We start from the raw sequence: 20,176 nt of genomic DNA, 5'->3' as shown, positions 1-20,176 counted from the left end.
GGAATACTACGCCACCATAAAAAGGAACAAGATCCTGTCCTTTGTAGGGACATTTAGCTGCCTTTAATTGAGACTTTGATTGTACCATTCAGATTCTGGCACTTTGGTCCAATTATAGGAGTATTCTGGATGCCAGCATCTTTGCTAGCTGTGCACCCACAAAGCCTTTGACTTAAAAGACATTTGTGAATCAAGCTCCCAGGACCCAACATTGTATTCAAATTCTACAAATGACTCAGCCCCATTATAACACCACAGAGTCACAAAAATACAGCCCACATCAACCCTAGTGGGTATCCATGTGGGAAGGATACCCTAGTCCGACACTGCCCTAGCTCAAGACCATGCCATTAAAGATGACATGCCCCCTGCCTCCCAACCAACTATGGGCAGTGCCAACTACACTAGCACATGGAATGTCTTGCCATTCATAGGAGACCAGAGGCTCTTGGTTTTCCAGTAGCTGGTTACACTGCTGACTTCTGTTTTAAAAAAGCAAGACCCACAACACTGGAGTAACTTTCCAGACTTTACAGACACCTATAAAACTCGAAGTTCTGCTCTCTGTGATTGTAATTCCACTCTATACCTGGCTTAGCCCTTATGAGACCAAGTCCAATACCTCCCTAATGCTTCTAAGATTCAGGTTCCTGCTAATCCCACCCACTTCTCCTGCCTAAAGGGTAACCTGACTGAAGTATTCCACCCTGTGTGCTCTCCTAGGAGTAAAAGGAGCATCTGCTGGTCTCCGACTGTCAAACCATTTATTCCCTTCCATCCTCCTCGCCTTCCCTTTCTCATTGTCAGTATCCCTACTCCCACCCCTATCTTTTCCGTCCTAACAGCATCTTCTCCTCTTGCCCTCTAAAAGACTACGTAAGTAAAATTCAAACCCACTGCCCCAGCTTCTCTGATATTTATACAGACATCCAAAATACAAACACATTTGACTGAAGTAGGCTCTTCTGCACTGACTATCCATAACTCATCACCCTGCTTCCACATATCCCACATCACACATTTACCCAACTGATAATTGCCCCAGAGATGAAAAATACTGAGAAATGAAAACCACTTCCAAACGGCCTTTTCTTCTGTATTGGGGTGCCCCCTCATGGCAAGTGGCAACTGCACTCGTATTTCCTCAATACATACCACAGATGGGCTACCCAATGAACAACTGCATATTCTCACCATATGCCCAACAAAAGCCACTGTCTTCCTCCAGTCCCATTCTTTAGTAATTTCCCTTTACCTAAATCAAGGTACAATTTTCCAGTCTAATGGTAATGCCACAAAACTATATTGTGTCCCAACCAACAAGGGTGTTTATCCCCTCTCCTTTGCCCTTCCATTACTCTGAAACTGGAAGCCACGAGATGCATTCTGGCCTCTCTTGGCATTCCTATTTATATAAATGTTAATTATTCTTTCCCTACCCAGCCAAATGTCATTGATGTGCCACATTTGTACCTATAATACTGGGACTCACCACTGCTCTGGGACTTGCTGCGATGGCCACAAGGACCATTGCTTTAGCCCAACAGTCAAAAATAATTGATGCTACCCTACAAATGTCCAAAACTCTAGTATATCATATTTCTAAGTTACAGCAAATATTAGTCCTGCTAAACCAGGGAGCTTTGGCAAAAATGTTTTTTGACAGTAAATTTGTCCTTGATTATATATTAACTAGTCAAAGAGGTGTTTGTAACATTATTAGAGCTTCTTGTTGTAGGTGGGTTAACACCACCAATCAAGAGGTCATTCTAACAGAAAGCCTGGATCAGAAAACCATCACCCTAAAAAAACATGCCTTACATATTTAACACACTCTGAAATCCAGTCAAAATATGACTAAAGGCCCTTGCCATGACTGATGTATTCTCCTGGCCAACGCCAAACAAATGGGAGCCTGGTTACGAGTCAGCCTTCAGGGACTTGTCACATTTCTACTTGGTTTCTTCCTTGTTATTGTCATAATAAAATGTTTTCTATGCTGTTTAGTGCAACTTAGGCCCTATTCTGTAGAAGTCTCCTCTACTATTCAGGCCACTCAAACACCCCAAATAATTGAGTTCAAAATCGACATCAAGATATAAAGGAATCAGTGACTAAATATATTTCATATATGGTATTTTTATTGATTATTGTGCTGTCTTGACCTAGTATGGAGGCCTTGGCTAGAGGCTGGTCAGTTTCCTCTCTTGAGCAGCTGATTAAATCCACACCCCAACCACTTCCCTTATCAGGTTCTCACACTCTGGGGCCACTATGTACCCACTCTAATCACCACAGGGCCAGACATCAGACAATTAAGGACAGCGCCCATGCCCCAAAGCCCGCCAAAATTATGCAAATTATTCAAAATTATTCAACCTAGCTAACCCCACCCTTTTTGCTGTACATAAGCTGCCCATTCCCCCTCCAGCCTGTGGTACCCAGTCCTCAGGTGCAACCCCCTGCGTGGTCCTCTGTGGCAGCCTTCTCTCATTCAGAGCTGTAAGTAACAAAGACTTCTGCCTTTCATCTAGCTGAGCATTGAAGTGTTTTATCCGACTGCCAAAAGAATCTTTAAATCTTGTAAAATACAGTCCTACCTACATCTTAATTACTATTCAATGAATGAAAGCTGCAAAGCTTAAAAAACCTTTATAGTTTTTCTAAACCTTTTATATTTATCAAGCAGATCTCTGTAAATCTGTAAATCTGAAAAGGATAATATAAATTACCTTTTTTTTTTTTGAGACAGAGTCTCACTTGGCAGCCTAGGCTGGAGTGCAGTGGCACCATCTCTGCTAACTGCAACCTCTGCCTCCCAGGTTCAAGTGATTCTCCTGCCTCAGCCTCCCGAGTAGCTGGGATTACAGGCACATGCCACCACACCTGGCTAATTACTGTATTTTTAGTAGAGGGGATTTCACCATGTTTGCAAGGCTGGTCTCGAACTACTGACCTCAGGTGATCTGCCCTCCTCAGCCTCCCAAAGTGCTGGGACTAGAGGCGTGAGCCACTGTGCCCAGCCAATATAAATTACCATTTAAAATTATTCCATGACTAATGTTCAATTTGACGTTAATTCCCCTAAACAAATAATGCAATTGATAGACTTGGTTAATTAAGTTCCTTTAAATATTATATATTATATCAATTACAAATTTAGTCTACCTGAATCTCTCAAGCATTTCAAATGCCTGACACATTAGTATCTTTTATACATCTTGCAAGTTTATAAAAGGAGGGAGGGGGCTCTAATAATTAAAGCAATTCCAGTAAAAGTAATAAACCAAATTTATGCAGTAGTAAGTTATGTTCTCTTAAACATTCAAACACTGTGTATAGACTGAAGAAAATGCTCTTGTACTTTAAAATTGAAATTATATGGTTCATATATCTGATTTTCTAATATATCAGGTTATATTAAATGCTTCAAGTAACTTAACAAACAATCTTTCATAGGTTATCTCAAGGATTAAATAATTAAATTTCTAAAGTTAATACAAATGTGTTAATATTGTGGATTTGACTAACTTCAACATTCTTATAGTTATTTCTCTCTTCTCCCAGTATTGTAAATCCACTTATGCAAATAAAGAGAATAGATAGATGTATGATCTGATTGGGCTGAGGATACTGTATCAGAGAATCAAGGCCAGGGTTGAAGTGTCAGTTAAAGAATTTGAGAGAGGGTCAGGGACCTAATTAGGTACCACACATGCCCAGGGTGCCTCTACACGACCCGAAAGTCAATCTGCTGGGCATCTCCTTGAGGTAACAGAGCTTTCCAAATTCACACTGTTTCATGCAGTCTAGTATATCATGTGTACCCTTACCTAGTTTTATTTATTTATTTATTTATTTATTTATTTATTTATTTATTTATTTATTTTTGAGACAATTTCTCTGTCACCAGGCTGGAGTGCAGTGGTGTGATCTCAGCTCACTGTAACCTCTGCCTCCTGGGTTCAAGCAATTCTCTTGCCTCAGTCTCCGGAGTACCTGGGACTACAGGCATGTGCCACCACGCCCGTCTAATTTTTGTATTTTTAGTAGAGACAGGGTTTCACCATGTTGGCCAGGATTGTCTCAATCTCTTGACCTCTGATGATCCGCCTACCTCGGCCTCCCAAAGTGCTGGGATTATAGGTGTGAGGCACCGTGCCCGGCCCCCTTACCCAATTTTTAAAGTTACCTCTTTTATAACTTTTTTGTTTTTTTGAGACAGAATCTCACTCTGTCACCCAGGCTGGAGTGTAGTGGCATGATCTCTGCTCACTGCAACCTCTGCCTCCCGGTTCAAGCAATTCTCGTGTCTCAGCCTCCCGAGTAGCTGGGATTACAAGTATGCGCTACCACACCCGGCCAATTTTTGTATTTTTAGTAGAGATGGGGTTTCGCCATGTTGGCCAGGCTGGTCCTGAACTCCTAACCTCAAGCGATCCACCAGCTTGGACCTTCCAAAGTACTGGGATTAAAGGCATGAGCCACCATGCCCAGCTTCTTTTATAACTTATAACTGTGTAATTTGATAGTTGAAATTCCCTCTATAGGATATTATTCACTACTCGACTGAATTCAATCTCTTTATTGCCTGATTGGAGTCAACTTGCTTTTTACATGTTTTATATCCAGTTCAATATCAAGAATCCTTTTGTCATTTTATTGACCATTCCCTACGTGATTAACACTATCTACTGAATACTGTATCTCAGAATATTACCTACATTTGCATCAAGCTCATGATCTATAGCTCACCTACATCCACCATTCTATTTTTGAAATTTGGGATAGCATGTGCCAGGATACAGTTGTTCTGCCTGAGTCTTCACTGCACCTCGAGTTATTTTGAGGTTCATCCATCTTATCTGAACTTTCTCCGTGCTCTGGATTTTATTCCTCTCCAAGAGACACAAACTCATTTAGAGCATGTAGATCTTCCCTTGGGATGTTTCTGCCTATTTTATTCCTTGTTTCTATCATGCCAACATTTGTTCTAATCTTTCTATTTGTTCTAATCTTTTTTTTTTTTCAAAAGAAAAGGAAAAAAACAGGTATTTTATGGCACCACTGGTCAGTGTAGGGCGGGTGGGTGGCACATGGCATTAGATGTGCTAGTTGGGCAGAGCTGTGCTGTTAATTTTCTGAAAGTGGTAACAAAATACATAAAATAAAACAGTGCAATGCCAGGACAGGCCAGCATGCGATAGGTGAGTTCTTCCCTCCGAAGCCTTCTTTCCAGGCTGTTTCATGTGTCTTTCTTTAGTGTGTCCTTCCTGTCTAATTAGGTTTCTCTCATTGCCCTTGTCCTAATGTTTTACAATTATCTAAGGTGGAATAGCACAGTGGAGAGAAGCAAAAATGTTGGAGTGAGACAGACTTAGGCAGAGGTGGCAATATTGTAAAAATAATGATGCTTAAGCTGTAAGACCATTCATTGCTTGATTTACTTCCAAGATCCCAGAAGGGCACAAGAAATGTGTTCACACAATCATATGTTTTATATAAAATTTGCAAAAGATATTTAACCACAATCAGTCAACCCCATTATCATTTTACTCTGACTGTACGGCATCATATTTCCTGTATCAGGTGGTATTGGAGGGGCTGTGGGCATTTTTGAGACCCAAATGGGGAAAGTTGAGTTGAGAATAATTTTAGTTTGGCTTTAGTGGGTCATATTTATGTGGGTATCAGTCATTTCTGTATATTGATAATTTATTGCTAGCCATTCAGGGTAGCATCCACTATGCCAAAACAAATATGCAGGGCCAGAAGTCATATTGAAAAGTGAAAGTGTGCTTCCTAATGGCTCCCAGGTTCAGAAATTTGTAGGTTATTGAAGAGAAACAGATGGTGAAATGCACAGAGACAGAGCTAATCGAGGGAAAATAATTTCAATCATCCAGTGTGTAAAGCTGCAGGCAGAGAATTTGGTTTTAGAATTTGACCAGAAAACCTAGTTAAGACAGGTTCTCTCAGGAATGTATCTGATAATGTCTTACGTACGATTAAAACCACATCATATGTTACAAAATTTTTTTGATGAAAATAGTACAAAATTAAAGAATCCTGTGTATTAAGACACAAACCTATAGCAGTACTTCAAATGTGTGTGAAGTTTTATGAATCCCAGTATTAATAAGAACAAACAAAAATTTTAATCAACCATGCTTGAAATAAGACTGAAATATCTTTCTATTCTCTCTACAGAAAATAATATAAAATTTTTGCTATATGAAGAGATAATCCAGAATTATGAAATTAAAATATAGATAAAAGCTCTTAGAGGATTGTGTCTGGCAGTGGCTGAATATGAAATATTGTTTTTTAGATTTTGTGATATTTTTGATATTTAACTTTGTAAAATATTTGATTTATTATAAATCATTTTCTTGTTCTAAATAGATATTCACTTTTGTCACTAATTTTATTATTAATTTTGTATTCTTTTTGTGGTAAAATTAAATTTACTACTTTAAACATTTTAAGGTATACAGGTCTGTGGCATTAAGTACATTGACGTTGCTGTGCAACCCCCATCGCGCATCATCTCCAGAACTTTTTCATCTTTCCAAACTGAAACTCCATATTCATTAAACAATAACTCCCCACTCCTTCCTCCCCCGAGCTCTGGCAGCAATTACTCTATTTTCTAGCTCTATAAATTTGACTATTCTAGTTATCCCATATAAGTGGAATCACACAGTATTTGTCCCTTTGTATATGGCTTATTTCACTTAGCATAGTGTCTTCAATCTTCCTCCATATTGTAGCATGTATCATTTCTTTTTAAGGCTGAATAATATTCCCTTGTATATACAGTAGTCCCCCTTATCTGTGAGGATACGTTACAAGACAATACCTGAAACCATGGCTAGTACCGAACCCTATAAACACTATGTTTTTTTCCTTATACAAACACATCTATGATAAAGTTTAAATTATAAATTAGGAATAGGAAGAGATTAACAACAATAACTAATAATAAAATAGAACAACTATAACAATATATCATAATAAAAGTTATGTGAATGTAGTCTCTCTCTCTCTCTCAAAATATTGCATTGTACTGTACTCACCTTTCTTGTCATGGGAGATGCTGTGATGCCTCTGTGATGAGATGACAAGAGGTGAATGATGTAAGCATTGTGATGTAGCCATAGGCTGCTACTGACCTTCTGTATTTCTGAATCAGTGTAACCAGCCCTTTGCGGCGTGGTGTCAACTCATTTCTTGCTTGCTGAAGTCTTCGCAGATGCTCAGTGCTTTCTGGTGCAACTGGTGGTTATCAAAACATGTTTTCTATTCATGTCTTCCACCCACCCATTTAATGTCTTTTCCGTCTTAACGAAACACCCATCTTGCACTGTAGCTGTAACTTTTACAGTTTGAGTTGCAACACCAACACTAGCACGAATTTCTTTTTCCTCCTTCACAATTACCTGGATAGAAGATTTGTTCTTACCGTAGATCTTAGCAACCTCAGTATATGACTTTTTTCCTCTCCTTATTAAGCCAAGAGCTTTCAAATTTTCACTTAAAGGAAGGACTGATGGCTTCTCTTTGGCATATCCAAATTACCAGCATCACAAGTCTTGGGCTTTGGGGCCATTATGAAGTAAAATAAGGGTTACTTGAACACAAGCACTGCAACATGGCAACAGAAAATCTGATAACTGAGAAGACTACTAAGTGACTAAGGGGAGGGCAGCATGTACAGAGGCGATATGATGGACAAAGGGAAGATTCACGGCCCCATCAGGATGGAGTGGGATGCTGTGAGATGTCATCACACTACTCAGAATGGCATGCAATTGAAAACGTATTGTTTATTTCTAGAAGTTTCCATTTAATAATTTTGGACTGTGGTGGATCATACATAACTGAAACAGAGGAAAGCAAAGCTTTGGTTAAGGGGGAAACTACTGTATATATAGTACCACATTTTGTTTATTCATTCATCTGACAATAAACACTGGGTTTGTTTCCACCTTTGGAATATTGTGAATAACACTGCTATGAATACAGGTGTACAAATATCTGTAGAATCCCCTGTTCTCACTTCTTTCAGATATATACTCAGAAGTGGAATGCTGGACCATAAGGTAGTTCTGTGTTTAATTCTTTGAGGAATCACCATACTGCTTTCCACAATGGTGACAGCTCTTTACATTCCCACCAGAAATGCACAAGGGTTCTCATTTCTCCACATCATCGCCAACACTTGTTTTCTGCTGTATTTTTGTCTGGTTGGTTTTCTTTTTGTTTCATAGTAGCCGTCTGATGAGTACAAAGTGCATTCTTTTTTAAAGAGGGCCTCCCAAAAACCTGGGTCTTCTCTGTGCTCGCGTCTGAACTTTAGTTCTACCATGGCATATGGTCCATCGTCCATGATTTTGTTTCCTCGCTTGTAAAATGAGGATAAAAATAAACATGACTCTAGGATTGTTTTAAAGATTTGGTGAAATAATATATGTGAAACCATTAGCACGTAGTCTGCACTTAAAAAGTGGCAATCCCTTTCATTATTATTTACTTATATGTCTTTCTCCTGTACAACATTATGAGCTCCTCACTCATCTTCTGTCCTCAACACCCAGCATAGGACCTGACATATACTTGGTGTTTAATGGATGTTTGATGGTTGAGCTTAAAATCATCCATAGAAGACAGGCCACAATTCTTTTAGCCACAATGCATGTAGAAGTTCAAAAGTTCCTCAGTGAAGAGGAACTGAAAGTAAATATCAGAACCTTGCTGCTCTGTAATTCACTGAGTGCAATCCAGTCTTTATCAACACAGTAAAATCTTTACTGTTCTCATTCTCTAAAGTAGCTTCACTCACGCTCAGCAAATTATTTTATTTTTCTCATTAAGTTGTAAATCATATTACCTCTCCAGGTATTGCTTTAGACAAATATTTGTATTGGGTGGACCCTACCTGACTACTGCTGACAAGATTCTGGTGCACCAAAGGGCAAGGATGCTGCCCCAGCTGGGCTGATTTCTGCTTGGGTGTACTACACATGGCATTAAAGCCTGCAATATTCAGAGACCCCGTTCTTTGGGGGTTGCCTTAGGATTCATGAAAGCCCAGAAACTGTATTCAAAATTGTATGTGTGTATACGCACACACACCTGAGAATATGTGCACTTTCAAAGGAAACAAACCTAACTTTTATCATAATTTCAAAGGAATGCATGACCAAAAGAATTAAGATTAACAGACCTAGAAAGCCTAGGGCGCCAGAATCATTATCAAGCCAGAGGCTTACCTTTAGGAAAAGAAACAGATCTTGAAACAATTTGTGGTATGAGTTCAGATCTTTAGGGGAGCTAGAACCCCCAGTTACTAGGACCAAGGCACAGAATCAGCTAACCAAACTCCAAGGATGAAGAGTCATTGGAGTTGGCAGGGTAATTTAAATCTCCTTTAAACTCCCTCTAACTGCACATAAGTTAGATCCAGAATCTGTGGATCCATCCTAAAGATGGCAGTAGTCACTATAGCTGGGAGCTATTCAGAGAGGCATTCAGATATCACACTGTGTCATATGTTAAATGCAGACAACCAAAGGTGATAGAAGAATTATGACATCAAATTTAAAATTCCTAGAAGTATCCAGAATAGTATGCAAATGTAAATTTAACACTTCTAAGATCCATTTAAACACAATAATGGCAAATTATATTTTAACCTATTTTGTGTCTTAATCTGATAAGAAGAAATTTGAAATTGTGCATCTTTTAATACAGGACTGATTAAAATAATTTCTGAGAAAAGTCAATAAAAATAAATATTAGCGAGAAAAGAAAATCTAAGACATAAATTTAAAGTAGTGTATCTGTACATACTTATACTACAGGTTGTCATACATTTTGACAGCACTTGTCATTTTTAGAAAATTGAAATTACTTTCTATTTACTCTCTGTAAATAAAAAGCATCTCTACTGAGACATGGTTACTGAGTTCCATATTTACAGAAATGAGCTAGAATGTTTTAATCTCTAACTACAATAAAATCATCCAAGGTGATCATAAAGTTCCCATATCTCTTTCTAAAAAATAAAAATAAAATAGAACAAAGCCAGAAGATTTTAAAAGTTTTTTTTAAAAAACTCCAAGGTTTTAGTACTATTAAAAAATGCCTAAGTTTAGAGGGTTTTGATTCAATTTCCTCTGAATTTCACTCTTCCCATGATAACCAGTCACTACCATTTGTATCCCCAGAGGTTTGAATGAAGTCTGAACAAAGTTTACTTCAATTGATTTCCTGCCAATCTGAGATAGGCTGAGACTGTCAAAGTGAAGGAAAAACAGTACAAATAAACATATAAAATACAAGAAGCATAAATCTTTATGGGCTTATAAATTACAGGTATTAATATACAACAAACACTAGTTCTCTAGAACAGTCCTAACCTATTCTATGGCTGTGCCATCTAGCCCTTAATGACGGGGTTCAGCTTCAAAGACAGCTGGTTCAACTTCCCCCCCATTTCAGTTCCTGGCCTGATTCTGAAAGGTTTGGTGTCATGTTATTTCTCACTACAGAGGAAATAGTTTGCTAGACACATTAAACCCTAGGTAGCCAAATTCCAGGGATCTTAGTTGGTCATATATTACTTGGCTACTTGTTGAACTGTAATCCTATCCTCTACATACAAGTCCAGGACTATAACAGTTTCTTAATCATAAGTAAAAGTAATTTCCAATTAGTAAGAAACAGACTAACATGGGTAACAGGCGTAAGGGATGAGTGGAGAACATCAAGATTAACCCACCATAGTGCCAGGGTTCCCATTCATTTCCCCTTAAGGTAGCTATTTGGAGTATGCTTTTAAAAGAGAACCCTGTTCCCATGCTTTCTCTTAAGTACAACTTTTGCATCAACCAAAGATGGACTAGCTATTATGATGCAAAGGACCACGGGAAGCTGCTCTGGCTAAACATCTCCTTCTTGTTGGCCCTACCAGTCCACGGCATTTCATTGTTCAAAATGCATGTCTTTACTTAAGATCTTTGGAGTTTCAAATCACTATGTAAAGCAAAGATGTGACTAGAAGTTACCACATTAAGCTATTTTCTGTCATTAATGCTTTGATATGAATGTGTTTCAAGATGGTTAACTAGCCAAGGTTAGGCATTGAAAGTTGGAGAGATGCATCCTAGGCAAGCCGGGGTAATCTCCAAAGTGGGGTAACCAAGAGCATTAGGAAACTGAATTTGGAAAAGAGAGGGTAGCATGAAAGATGAAATCTGATATAAATAAGGGGGTAGCAGGGCAAAGCCATTTCACAGATCTGTAAACAAACTGCAATGCTGACCTCTGGTTTCCCTAACTAAGAGCTTTCACAAAGTAAACATGTTATTTAAAAATAATATCTCAAATAGCCATGCAGTTATGATGCGCAGTTTAACTGAGGTGGGGGAGATTCTCAGAGGGAAGAACCCAGAGATCAGGGTTCAAGGCTGGGAGAGAAATGGCTACTTCCTTGGAAATGTTCCTAGGTGTCCTGATCTGCCACTGAGCTACAGCCTTCAAACTCAAACTGCAAGGGAAGCTTTTTTCGAGCCTCCCTGGAAAAAACCCATGACCCCAAAATCCTTCCCTCGAAGCTCTATCCAGAGGCTTGGTACTGCTTCAAGTAGAAAATCTGATTTGGTTTCTGGGAAGGAGGACCTGTTGGAAAGTTACAAGATTGACGTGACAGTGACAAGTCTGGAACCTCCTGGCTCTGATGCACAGTGCTTGAACTCCCTTAGAAATGAAGCATTGCCCCCAAGATAGTATAAAGTTACAGTTATCTAAAGTTTTCTCTCTTTTTTTTACCTGTTTCTCTTTCTCCAAAAAAAAGTTTAATTTTAAGAACAATGAAAAATCAATCTTGAACAATTATAGGGAAACTCAAAAGAGCACACTGTGCATTTCAGCTACTTCAGTCACAATGAAACAATCATTAAAAAGATATTATGTTTGTTTCACACAAAGAAAATGTGAAAAAAAAAACACCTCCATATTGTTAAAGCAACATGTACCACAACTAAACACAGGTAGAATTTTTAAATTTTAAATTTGGCCAGGTGTGGTGGCTCACACCTGTAATCTCAGCACTTTGGGAGGCAGAGAAGGGCAGATCATGAGGTCAGGAGTTCAAGACCAGCCTAGCCAACATGGTGAAACCTCATCTCTACTAAAAATACAAAAAAATTACCCGGGCATGGTGGCACACTCCTCTAGTCCCATCTACTCAGGAGACTGAGGCAAGAGAATCACTTGAACCTGGGAGACAGAGTTTGTGGTGAGCCAAGATTGCGCCACTGCACTCCAGCCTGGCAACAGAGTGAGACTCTGCCTCAAAATAATAATAATTATTATTATTACTATTTTAAATTTAATTTAATTTTTTAATTTTAAAATTACAAGCGATTCATAAACATTCTGTCCTCTCTTCTTTCAATATTTTGTTTTTATTTATTGTCTAATATGTATAAGTAGCTGGAAAATTGTACAGCTCATATTCTTTTATAAGCAATGAAAAGAAAATAAGTGAGATTTAATACATATAAATAATTTTCTATTATTCTTTAATACTTTCAATTTATTTAATGCTTTTGTTTTATACAACATACAAAATACTACCGCAGCACATGTAATGTAATAGCTTAGTCGTAGTCTTACTTTTCAAAAAATTGTATATAATACATAATCTCAACCCCAGTATCAGATATCACTTGTGTACATCTTGCCTTTATTCCTATTCTTGCTTCTGGAAACCTTAGCTATTTCTGACAAAGGGTATACAAGGAATATTTCTAAAGCAGTGGCTCTCTAAGTGTGGTCCTCAGAGCAGCAGTATCAGCATCACCTGGGACTTGCTAGAAATGCAAATTCTCAGCTTCCATCCCAGACCTACTGAATCAGAAACTCTGAAGGTGAGGCTGGGCAATCTGTATTTTAACAAAGCCCTCTGATGCACAGAAATGTTTGAGAACCACTCGCTTAAAGGAACCACAAAGCAAAGATTTTTTACATGCTTCAGAACTTATCCCTAGCTTTGCTTTTCTCTTTCCAATCATTTAATTTAAATGTTTTCTCTTATGCCACAGAGTTGAGTGAAATTCCCCTGACTCCCTTGGTTTTTTTCAAACAAGTACATTTCTTTTCCTCTTAGGAGTATAATCATCATGTAGATTGTACAAAATAAAATAACTTCTCCATGTGTTCATCTGGTTAGGAGATTTCCAATTTTATAAGGCAATAAAATAGTATTCAAAAGGGGGCACAATAGCTATATTGACATGCCAGTAGACATGTAGAAACTATAGAAATCGTTCTTTTCCTCTTATAAACTTTTTTTATTGGTTAAAACAAGATTTTATTAAAATATTGGCTTATTCTTAAGGCAAGAATAATTTTAATTTTTAAAAAATTTTAATTTTTAAATTCTATAATCTGTCTCTGAAATTCTTCAGATTAATATCTCAAAATCTTATAAACTTTTAAATATGAGGTTAAGAAAAAATTTAAATAATTTTATTATAAAAATGATATATGTTCTTTGCAGCTATCAAACAATACAGATGTAAATCAAGTAAAAATTAACAATCTGTCATCTTTTAGAGTCATATTCTCTTTAAGGCAACAAATGTTACCAGATTGGTATTTCTTTCTAATCTCTCTTCACTGACTACATAAGTGTGCAGATGCAAAAAAATTTTATATGCAAAATCAGGATCATATTATGCCATTGCTCTTCAATTCACTTTTTACACTTAAAGTATCACAAATGCACTTGTCTAGTATCACTATTTAATTCCATTCCCGTTTAGGTTATTTTGAAATGCCTGCTCTTATAAACATTGATTCAGTTAGCATCCTTGCACATTTATTTCCAATTACTCTTGTTAATTTTTCAATTTCACAGACTCCTAAAAGTGGAATATTTGAATCTAACTCTATGTCCATTTATAATTTAATTAAGGGCTGCAAATGAATTATTGGAGTACTTCGTGCTTCCGCAGGAATATTATCAGTCTTTTGAATTTTGCCTCCCATTCCCATGGTCTCTCATTGTTTTGATCTATGTTTTTCTAAACAGTGGTCACATAGATGATCTTTTCTCACACTGTTGGCCATTGGCTATTTTGTGAGCAAAAGATCAAAAGTCTTCCTTGGAGGCTAAGGGAGAAAAGTGACCTTTTGAAGCTCAAGGTGAGAAACAGCATGATGGGTAGCACACAGTAACTCACACCTGTAATCCTAACACTTTGGGAGGCCGAAGAGGGAGGATCACTTGAGCTCAGGAGTTCAAAACCAGCCTGGGCAACATAGTGGGACCTCATCTCTACAAAAACTTAAAAAAAAAAAAAAAAAAAAGGGGAAGAAAGAGCATGGTGGGGCTTCTCCCCTCCTTAACTGTGTGGATTAACAATAGTTCTGCTCAAAGTTGCAGTTCCTCTCCAGGGCTGCTAGAGTTGGCCTGCAGAAGCAAGCTGTACATAGGACATTGGCAAAGGCAACTTTTCTCCAAAGACTGAGAGACATCTACTGGGTTTCATTGATTGCACCCACTCAGGGAGCCAAGGGTTCTGAGTTCCTTATCCCAGGGCAAAACATCAACCCTGTACCTAGAGGAGCCACTGCCCTCTGCCTGGGTCTATAAAAGCCTTCATTATTTTGGAGGTCCCTAGGCCTTCCTTATTCTACTGATTGACTCTCACCTGCAGGGCACTAGCAAGAAGGAGGGTGATGGATATGCAATGAAATTGTCATCTGTCCCAATATTTTGTATTTTCTTCATGTGTATGGCCACAGTTGTTCTCCCCGAACTTAAAAATAAATTAACAAGCCCAGGCTATATTGAAGGTGAAGAGAAGATGATTTTAAAATAAGATTTAAAAGGAATCAACCATTTATAAATTTATTTAGAATATAACACAAGCAAAGTGCATAAAATGATTTACCAGTTCTTCCAAATGCTCATTTTAAAGCAAAAGCTCTGTGACGAACGGGTGCAGAACACTGTGGCACAAAGTCCATATTTGGCTTCCCCAGCCTGCAATGTGAGAAATTCCTTTTACCATAATAATATTAGGGAGGCTCTGTCCAGCCAAGCAGTGCTCACTTTCTTAAGTCATAGAGGTTTATCATGTCAGGCAAAGTTCAGAATCATTTAATCTCACCTTTCATCATCCATTATGGTAGAGACGGAGCTACCTACTTCTAGATTTATGTGCCTGTAATTTTTTCATGTTGTTCTGAAATGAAGCGCCTGTTAAGTTTACTCCCCAGATAATCCTTTGTTTCTGGAAGTTCATAGAAGTCACCCTTTGTCATCATTAATGTAATATCGTCTCACAAGCAGGTATTATAACTCAATTCTGAGATTCCCTCACCCTTTTATATACCGGTGATGCCATAACTAATTGCTCTGCTTCATACAGCTCAGCTGTATCTCCAACCAGGGCCTGAGGCCTCCTCTTAAGCCCCTGCCCCATCTGACCACCCACCTCCCCATCTCATCCTGGACCTCTTGCCCACAGAGGGAGAGCAGAGGGCTGCCTCCAGAGCCAAGCGGCAGCTGTTGCTGCCAGTACCGTCTAGAAGCTGAGCACCCACACCCACCCTCAGCACCTTTCTCTCCACGTGCCCCTCAGCTGGCACTGCAGGGTGGATAATGCTCAAGTTAATTTGATACTCCCAGCCCTGTCAGAGTTATGAGCTATTAAAAATTGAAACTTATTTATTCTCCAGTTAGGTTTCACATTTCTGGTACTAAGACGAGGTCATATCTTAGGGAAAGAAATGGTATCTCTTTCCTGAAAATAGTGTACTAAGATTCTGGCACCTTTTCCAGCATAAGATTTTTCATAGCTCAGTGTGTATTATAGCAGTGTAGCTGATTAAAAATTCTGTTACTTTAGTTCCAGATGGTTTTTATTTTGGATGTGCTCAAAGTGTTTGTTCACCACATCACTAATGTTCTGTAGAAATAAATCGACAAAATAAGTCACTTGCTTATTCATTCCAATATTTAACAAAAGTGTTTGATTATCTACTGAAGAGAATGGAAGACTCCTAGGACTGATAAAATTCGGACTCTGATTTTAAGAGTCTTACTACCCATCTGGTGGAGAGACAAGTATACACATAAATATAACTACGGTTTGAATGTGAGTGCTGTCATAAGAAAGATGTAAAACAAACTCTATGGCAATGCAAAGATGAAAGACTTTATTCAAGAAATACCTATCATCTGAGATGTACTTTTGATGATAGGTTAGATTTTCACAAGTGGATATGTGTGTTTGGGACAAGAGTTGGGCATTTCACATTAAAGAGCAGCACATCGCAAAGTCTGAAGGTAAAGAGAGAAAGACACAGAATAAATTTGGGGTTAATAGCCAGGTGCAGTGGCTCACGCCTGTAACTCCAGCATTTTGGGAGGCCAAGGTGGGCAGATCGCTTGAGCCCAGGAGCTCAAGACCAGCCTGGGCAACATGGTGAGACCCTGTCTCTATTTAAAAAAAAATAAAATAAAAAAGAAAAGAAAGGAAAGGAAAGAAAAGAAATTTGGGGACAACATATAGTCCTGCTTTACAAAATAAACAGTATAAAGGAAACTATTGAAATAAAAATCTGGAAAAGTAGATCTGAGGCCCTTGCCTGCTAGGTGGTGGTGTTTGCCTTTTATGCAAAGCAATGGGAAGCTGTTGAAAATTCCCTGACCATGAATGAGCTGACTGGAACAGGGCTTCAGGGCTATCATTCTTGCAGTAGATCTTTAGCTGGATATGAGGGAGCAAAGGCTTAGGCAATGAGGTCAGTTAGGATGTGATTTGATGTCAGCAGGTAAGAGGCAATGGTGATGAAAGGAGAAGAAAGGAAAGAACACCAGAGGGGTTGTGAAGATAGAATTGGCAGCATTTACCACAAGAGCCTAAGGAAAGGGAAGGAGACACAGATAACTCCAAGCTGGTGGGCCTGGACCCTTACCTTTGATAAGGATGGCAACAGTAACCAACACACTGGAGGCAGGAAGGGAACAATCACCAATTCATTTGGAGGCAAGAAGAGCTCAGAGTGTGGGCAAGTCACTCAGGTGGTGCTCACTTTAGCAGAAAGGCTGTGTAGATGAGTGTTTAGTTAAAGAACTGACATTTTCACGGATATGCCTTGAAAGTATGTAAATCTGTATTTCTTAAATGGTTAGCAAGCGGAGCCCTCAACAGCATTTATCACCTGCATGAACAGAATTATTTATTGTGCTGTGCTCCTGTGAATGGTATTCCAGGAATTGGAAAGATGCGGGCAAAGTTTTGTTTTAAAATTAACTCTTAAAGAACTGGAATTTCTCTCATTAGTAGTAAAAGCAACAAGAGGTTGCCAAAAGCAAAAGTGTTGAGAAAGAAACATGTTCCCTTTACTTTTTCTTTAAATTATAAGTGAATGGGCATGACACAAAACAGCGACCATGATGACTAAGCAAACCTATGTAGACTTAACAGCCCTTATAAAATAAAACTCACATTACCCTGACTTTCTTTCGTGCTATTGTGCCACAAGGGAACTGAAGGTAAGCAGTTCACACAGATGACTATATTGATAATCATTCTGCCAAACTACACATCTTTAGTTTTTTTAATTGCTTCTTCTCAGGTATCTATTGCTAATATCAGCATTGATATTTTCATCAAAATAATATAAGTTATCTGCCTAAAAATTTCAATAGAATCAATAGAATCAATGGATGACTCTTTTCTGCTACATCAACTACAGCCAATTGAATGATATCCATCAATATCCAGAGAATGATATGCTTTAGTAATGAAACTATTCGTACATTGTATTATTTCAACCATCACTAACTCCCCTTGCTCTTCCCCTACGCACCACAATTATACTCCCAATTTTGCTTTTTAGAAAGCAAAATCCCTGAATCTTTTTCAGCTCTCAGTGAAGCTAATTTCCTTGAATCCCATCCCCTCAAAATATGCCAATTCAATTACACCCAGGGCCAAAAATCATCTTTTATTTCCAGTTTGGCCTGTTTCCTCCTCAATACCCCAGCCACCACCACCTTCAAACGCCACCATCACTAAATGAGTCCTTGAGAAGTTTTCCCTTGCTTCCTACCTGTAGTAGGCTAAATAATTGGCCCCAACAATGTCCATATCTTAATCCCCAGAATCTTTGAAAATGTCTTACACAACACAAGGGACTTCACAGATGTGATTAAATGAAGGATCCTGAGATGGGAGATTATTCTGATTCATCCAGATGGGCCTGATATAATCACAAAGATTCTTATAAGAAGGAGGAAGAAAAGAGGAGGGAGAGAAGATTTTATACTGCTCGCTTTGAGGATGGAGAAGGGATCATAAGCCAAGGAATGTAGGAGGCACATAGAAACTGGAAAAGACAACAAAACAAATTCTTCCCAGAGACTGAGAAGGAATGCAACCCTGCCAACCCCTTGATTTTAGCCCCAAAAACGTATTTTGGATTTGTGACTGCCAGAAGTGTCAGGAGAATAAATTTGTATTGTAAGAGGCTAAACTTTTGATGATTTGTTTCAGCAGCAGTAGAAAACTACTATATTACCTCTCTGTATGGTCTGCCATAAACTCAATACCATAAAGATGTGGATTGCCTGCCCAGAGAAGGTAACTTGCATGATCAATGGGTACCTTCAGATGATAGTAGCTGGTGAATTGGTGCTAATAGCGCTGGTCCAGTGAAGAAAGGATGAGGTGCAATCCACATGGAGTTTCCACATAGTAAGCCCCACTGAGTGTTAGACATCAAGCTCAATACTTCATGTCTGTTATTTTATTTTATTTTATTTTTTGACAGAGTCTTGCTCTGTCACCTAGAGGGCATCTCACATTGCACCCAGGGAATGCAGTGGTGTGATGGCTCACTGCAACCTCCACCCCCTGGGTTCAAGTGATTCTCCTGTCTCGGCCTCCCAAGTAGGTGGGATTACAGGTGGCTGCCACCATGCCCGGCTAACTTGTGTATTTTTAGTAGACAGAGGGTTTCGACATGTTGGCCAGGCTGGTCTCAAACTTCCGGCATCAAGCAATCATCCCGCTTCGGCTTCCCAAAGTGCTGAGATTACAGGTGTGAGCCATGGTGCCTGGCCACATCTGATATCTCTTTAACATTTTCTTCTTTATTATCTTTTTAAACGTATTTGACACATACAGTGCTTACCTTCTTGGGTATCTGGTGGTCTTCATGAACTCATTATTTGATGATTTGGAGGAGTCCTAAATCCCTAAACTGGACAATCTTTCCTTAAAGAGATCGATAGCCAGGGGTCATCAGCAACCATGAACCAGTTCAGCTCCCTTGAGAGTGTCTGAGCAGAAGAGTCACAGATTCAGATTTCCCCTCCCAGTGGCCTGAGCCTCAGAGTTATTACTGGCATCCACTCTCAGGATGGGACAACATGTGCCTCTAAGGTCCAGTTCTCAGTTTTGGGGAGTTTTGCTTTGTGTTTAGAGGGAAAAGGTGCATTTCCTGAAGGGATCAGTTACTTCTTGCAGAACCCACATTCCCTACAGGAGCGTGGTCTCCCCAGGGCCTGGTGGTTCTGCAAGAGAGAAATGGTGATGGCAGATGGTGGTGCACAAGTAGATGATTTAAATTATGTTTAGGAGGAAGAAGCTATTAAACTTGCTGCTGATTTGATAAATAGATTTTGTGAAAGGAAATATTCAAAGAGGACTCCTAGATTTCTTCCTTAAGAAACAGGGATGGTGTAATGCCATTTACAGTTACCGGAGATGAGAAACAAGAGTTATGCTTGTATCATTTTTAATTGTTTATTTATATATTTATTTATTTAGAGACAGGGGGTGTCGCCCAGGCTGGAGTGCAGTGCTGCAAACACAGCTTACTGCAGCTTTGACCTCCCAGGCTCAAGCAATCCTTCTGCCTCGGTCCCCCAAGTAGCTGGGACTACAGGCACATGCCACCACGCCTGGCTAATTTTTGTGTTTTTTAGTAGAGATGGGGTTTTGCCATGTTGCCCGGGCTGGTCTGGAATTCCTGAGCTCAAGTGATACTCCTGCCTTGACCACCCAAAGTGCTGGGATTATGGGCCTGAGCCACTACACCCAGCCAACGCTTGTATTGTTTTCTAAAAAGGCTTTACTGTTGA

At 38.9% G+C, this 20,176-nt stretch overlaps 1 protein-coding gene and 1 long non-coding RNA gene across 7 annotated transcripts in view, besides 9 other annotated features; one reads left to right on the top strand and one right to left on the bottom strand.

Annotated features, from left to right (window-relative positions):
- Positions 683-1,283: a DNaseI hypersensitive site, noted in NCBI's record as "DHS-2; erythroid cell-specific; the nucleotide coordinates are approximate for this feature". NCBI's record gives the evidence for it as "EXISTENCE:in vivo cleavage assay evidence [ECO:0001075][PMID:1463458]".
- Positions 683-2,597: a biological region, named in NCBI's record as "CA1 upstream erythroid promoter". NCBI's record gives its function as "regulatory_interactions: CA1".
- Positions 1,616-2,407: a promoter, noted in NCBI's record as "SstI to +14 fragment for CA1-SspI-H2K (Ss) construct". NCBI's record gives the evidence for it as "EXISTENCE:transcriptional activation assay [ECO:0000170][PMID:1463458]".
- Positions 1,828-2,125: a mobile genetic element.
- Positions 1,997-2,597: a DNaseI hypersensitive site, noted in NCBI's record as "DHS-1; erythroid cell-specific; the nucleotide coordinates are approximate for this feature". NCBI's record gives the evidence for it as "EXISTENCE:in vivo cleavage assay evidence [ECO:0001075][PMID:1463458]".
- Positions 2,154-2,591: a mobile genetic element.
- Positions 2,244-2,474: a conserved region, noted in NCBI's record as "conserved_region". NCBI's record gives the evidence for it as "COORDINATES:sequence alignment evidence [ECO:0000200][PMID:8406018]".
- Positions 2,435-20,176, top strand: part of CA1 (carbonic anhydrase 1) — a 50,506-nt gene continuing 32,764 nt past the window's right edge. For all 6 annotated transcript variants that reach the window (NM_001291968.2, NM_001291967.2, NM_001128831.4 and 3 more), the window contains exon 1: positions 2,435-2,502. The gene's annotated coding sequence lies outside the window, so the exon portion shown is untranslated. The remainder of the gene's footprint in view (positions 2,503-20,176) is intronic.
- LOC124901970 (uncharacterized) lies at positions 7,810-18,977 on the bottom strand. The gene is made up of 2 exons (XR_007060986.1): positions 14,970-18,977; positions 7,810-8,407 (listed from the first exon to the last, which is right to left on the bottom strand). It is a non-coding gene; the product is annotated as an uncharacterized LOC124901970 (long non-coding RNA).
- Positions 8,678-8,757: a silencer, noted in NCBI's record as "silent region_19337". NCBI's record gives its function as "represses an Ori minimal core promoter by ATAC-STARR-seq in GM12878 lymphoblastoid cells {active_cell/tissue: GM12878}" and the evidence as "EXISTENCE:reporter gene assay evidence [ECO:0000049][PMID:35858748]".
- Positions 8,828-8,877: an enhancer, noted in NCBI's record as "active region_27595". NCBI's record gives its function as "activates an Ori minimal core promoter by ATAC-STARR-seq in GM12878 lymphoblastoid cells {active_cell/tissue: GM12878}" and the evidence as "EXISTENCE:reporter gene assay evidence [ECO:0000049][PMID:35858748]".

This window comes from Homo sapiens, chromosome 8 (assembly GCF_000001405.40).
Source record: "Homo sapiens chromosome 8, GRCh38.p14 Primary Assembly".
NCBI lineage: Eukaryota > Metazoa > Chordata > Mammalia > Primates > Hominidae > Homo > Homo sapiens.
The sequence above is the reverse complement of the archived record's forward strand: the minus strand, read 5'-3'. Positions and strand labels throughout refer to the sequence as shown.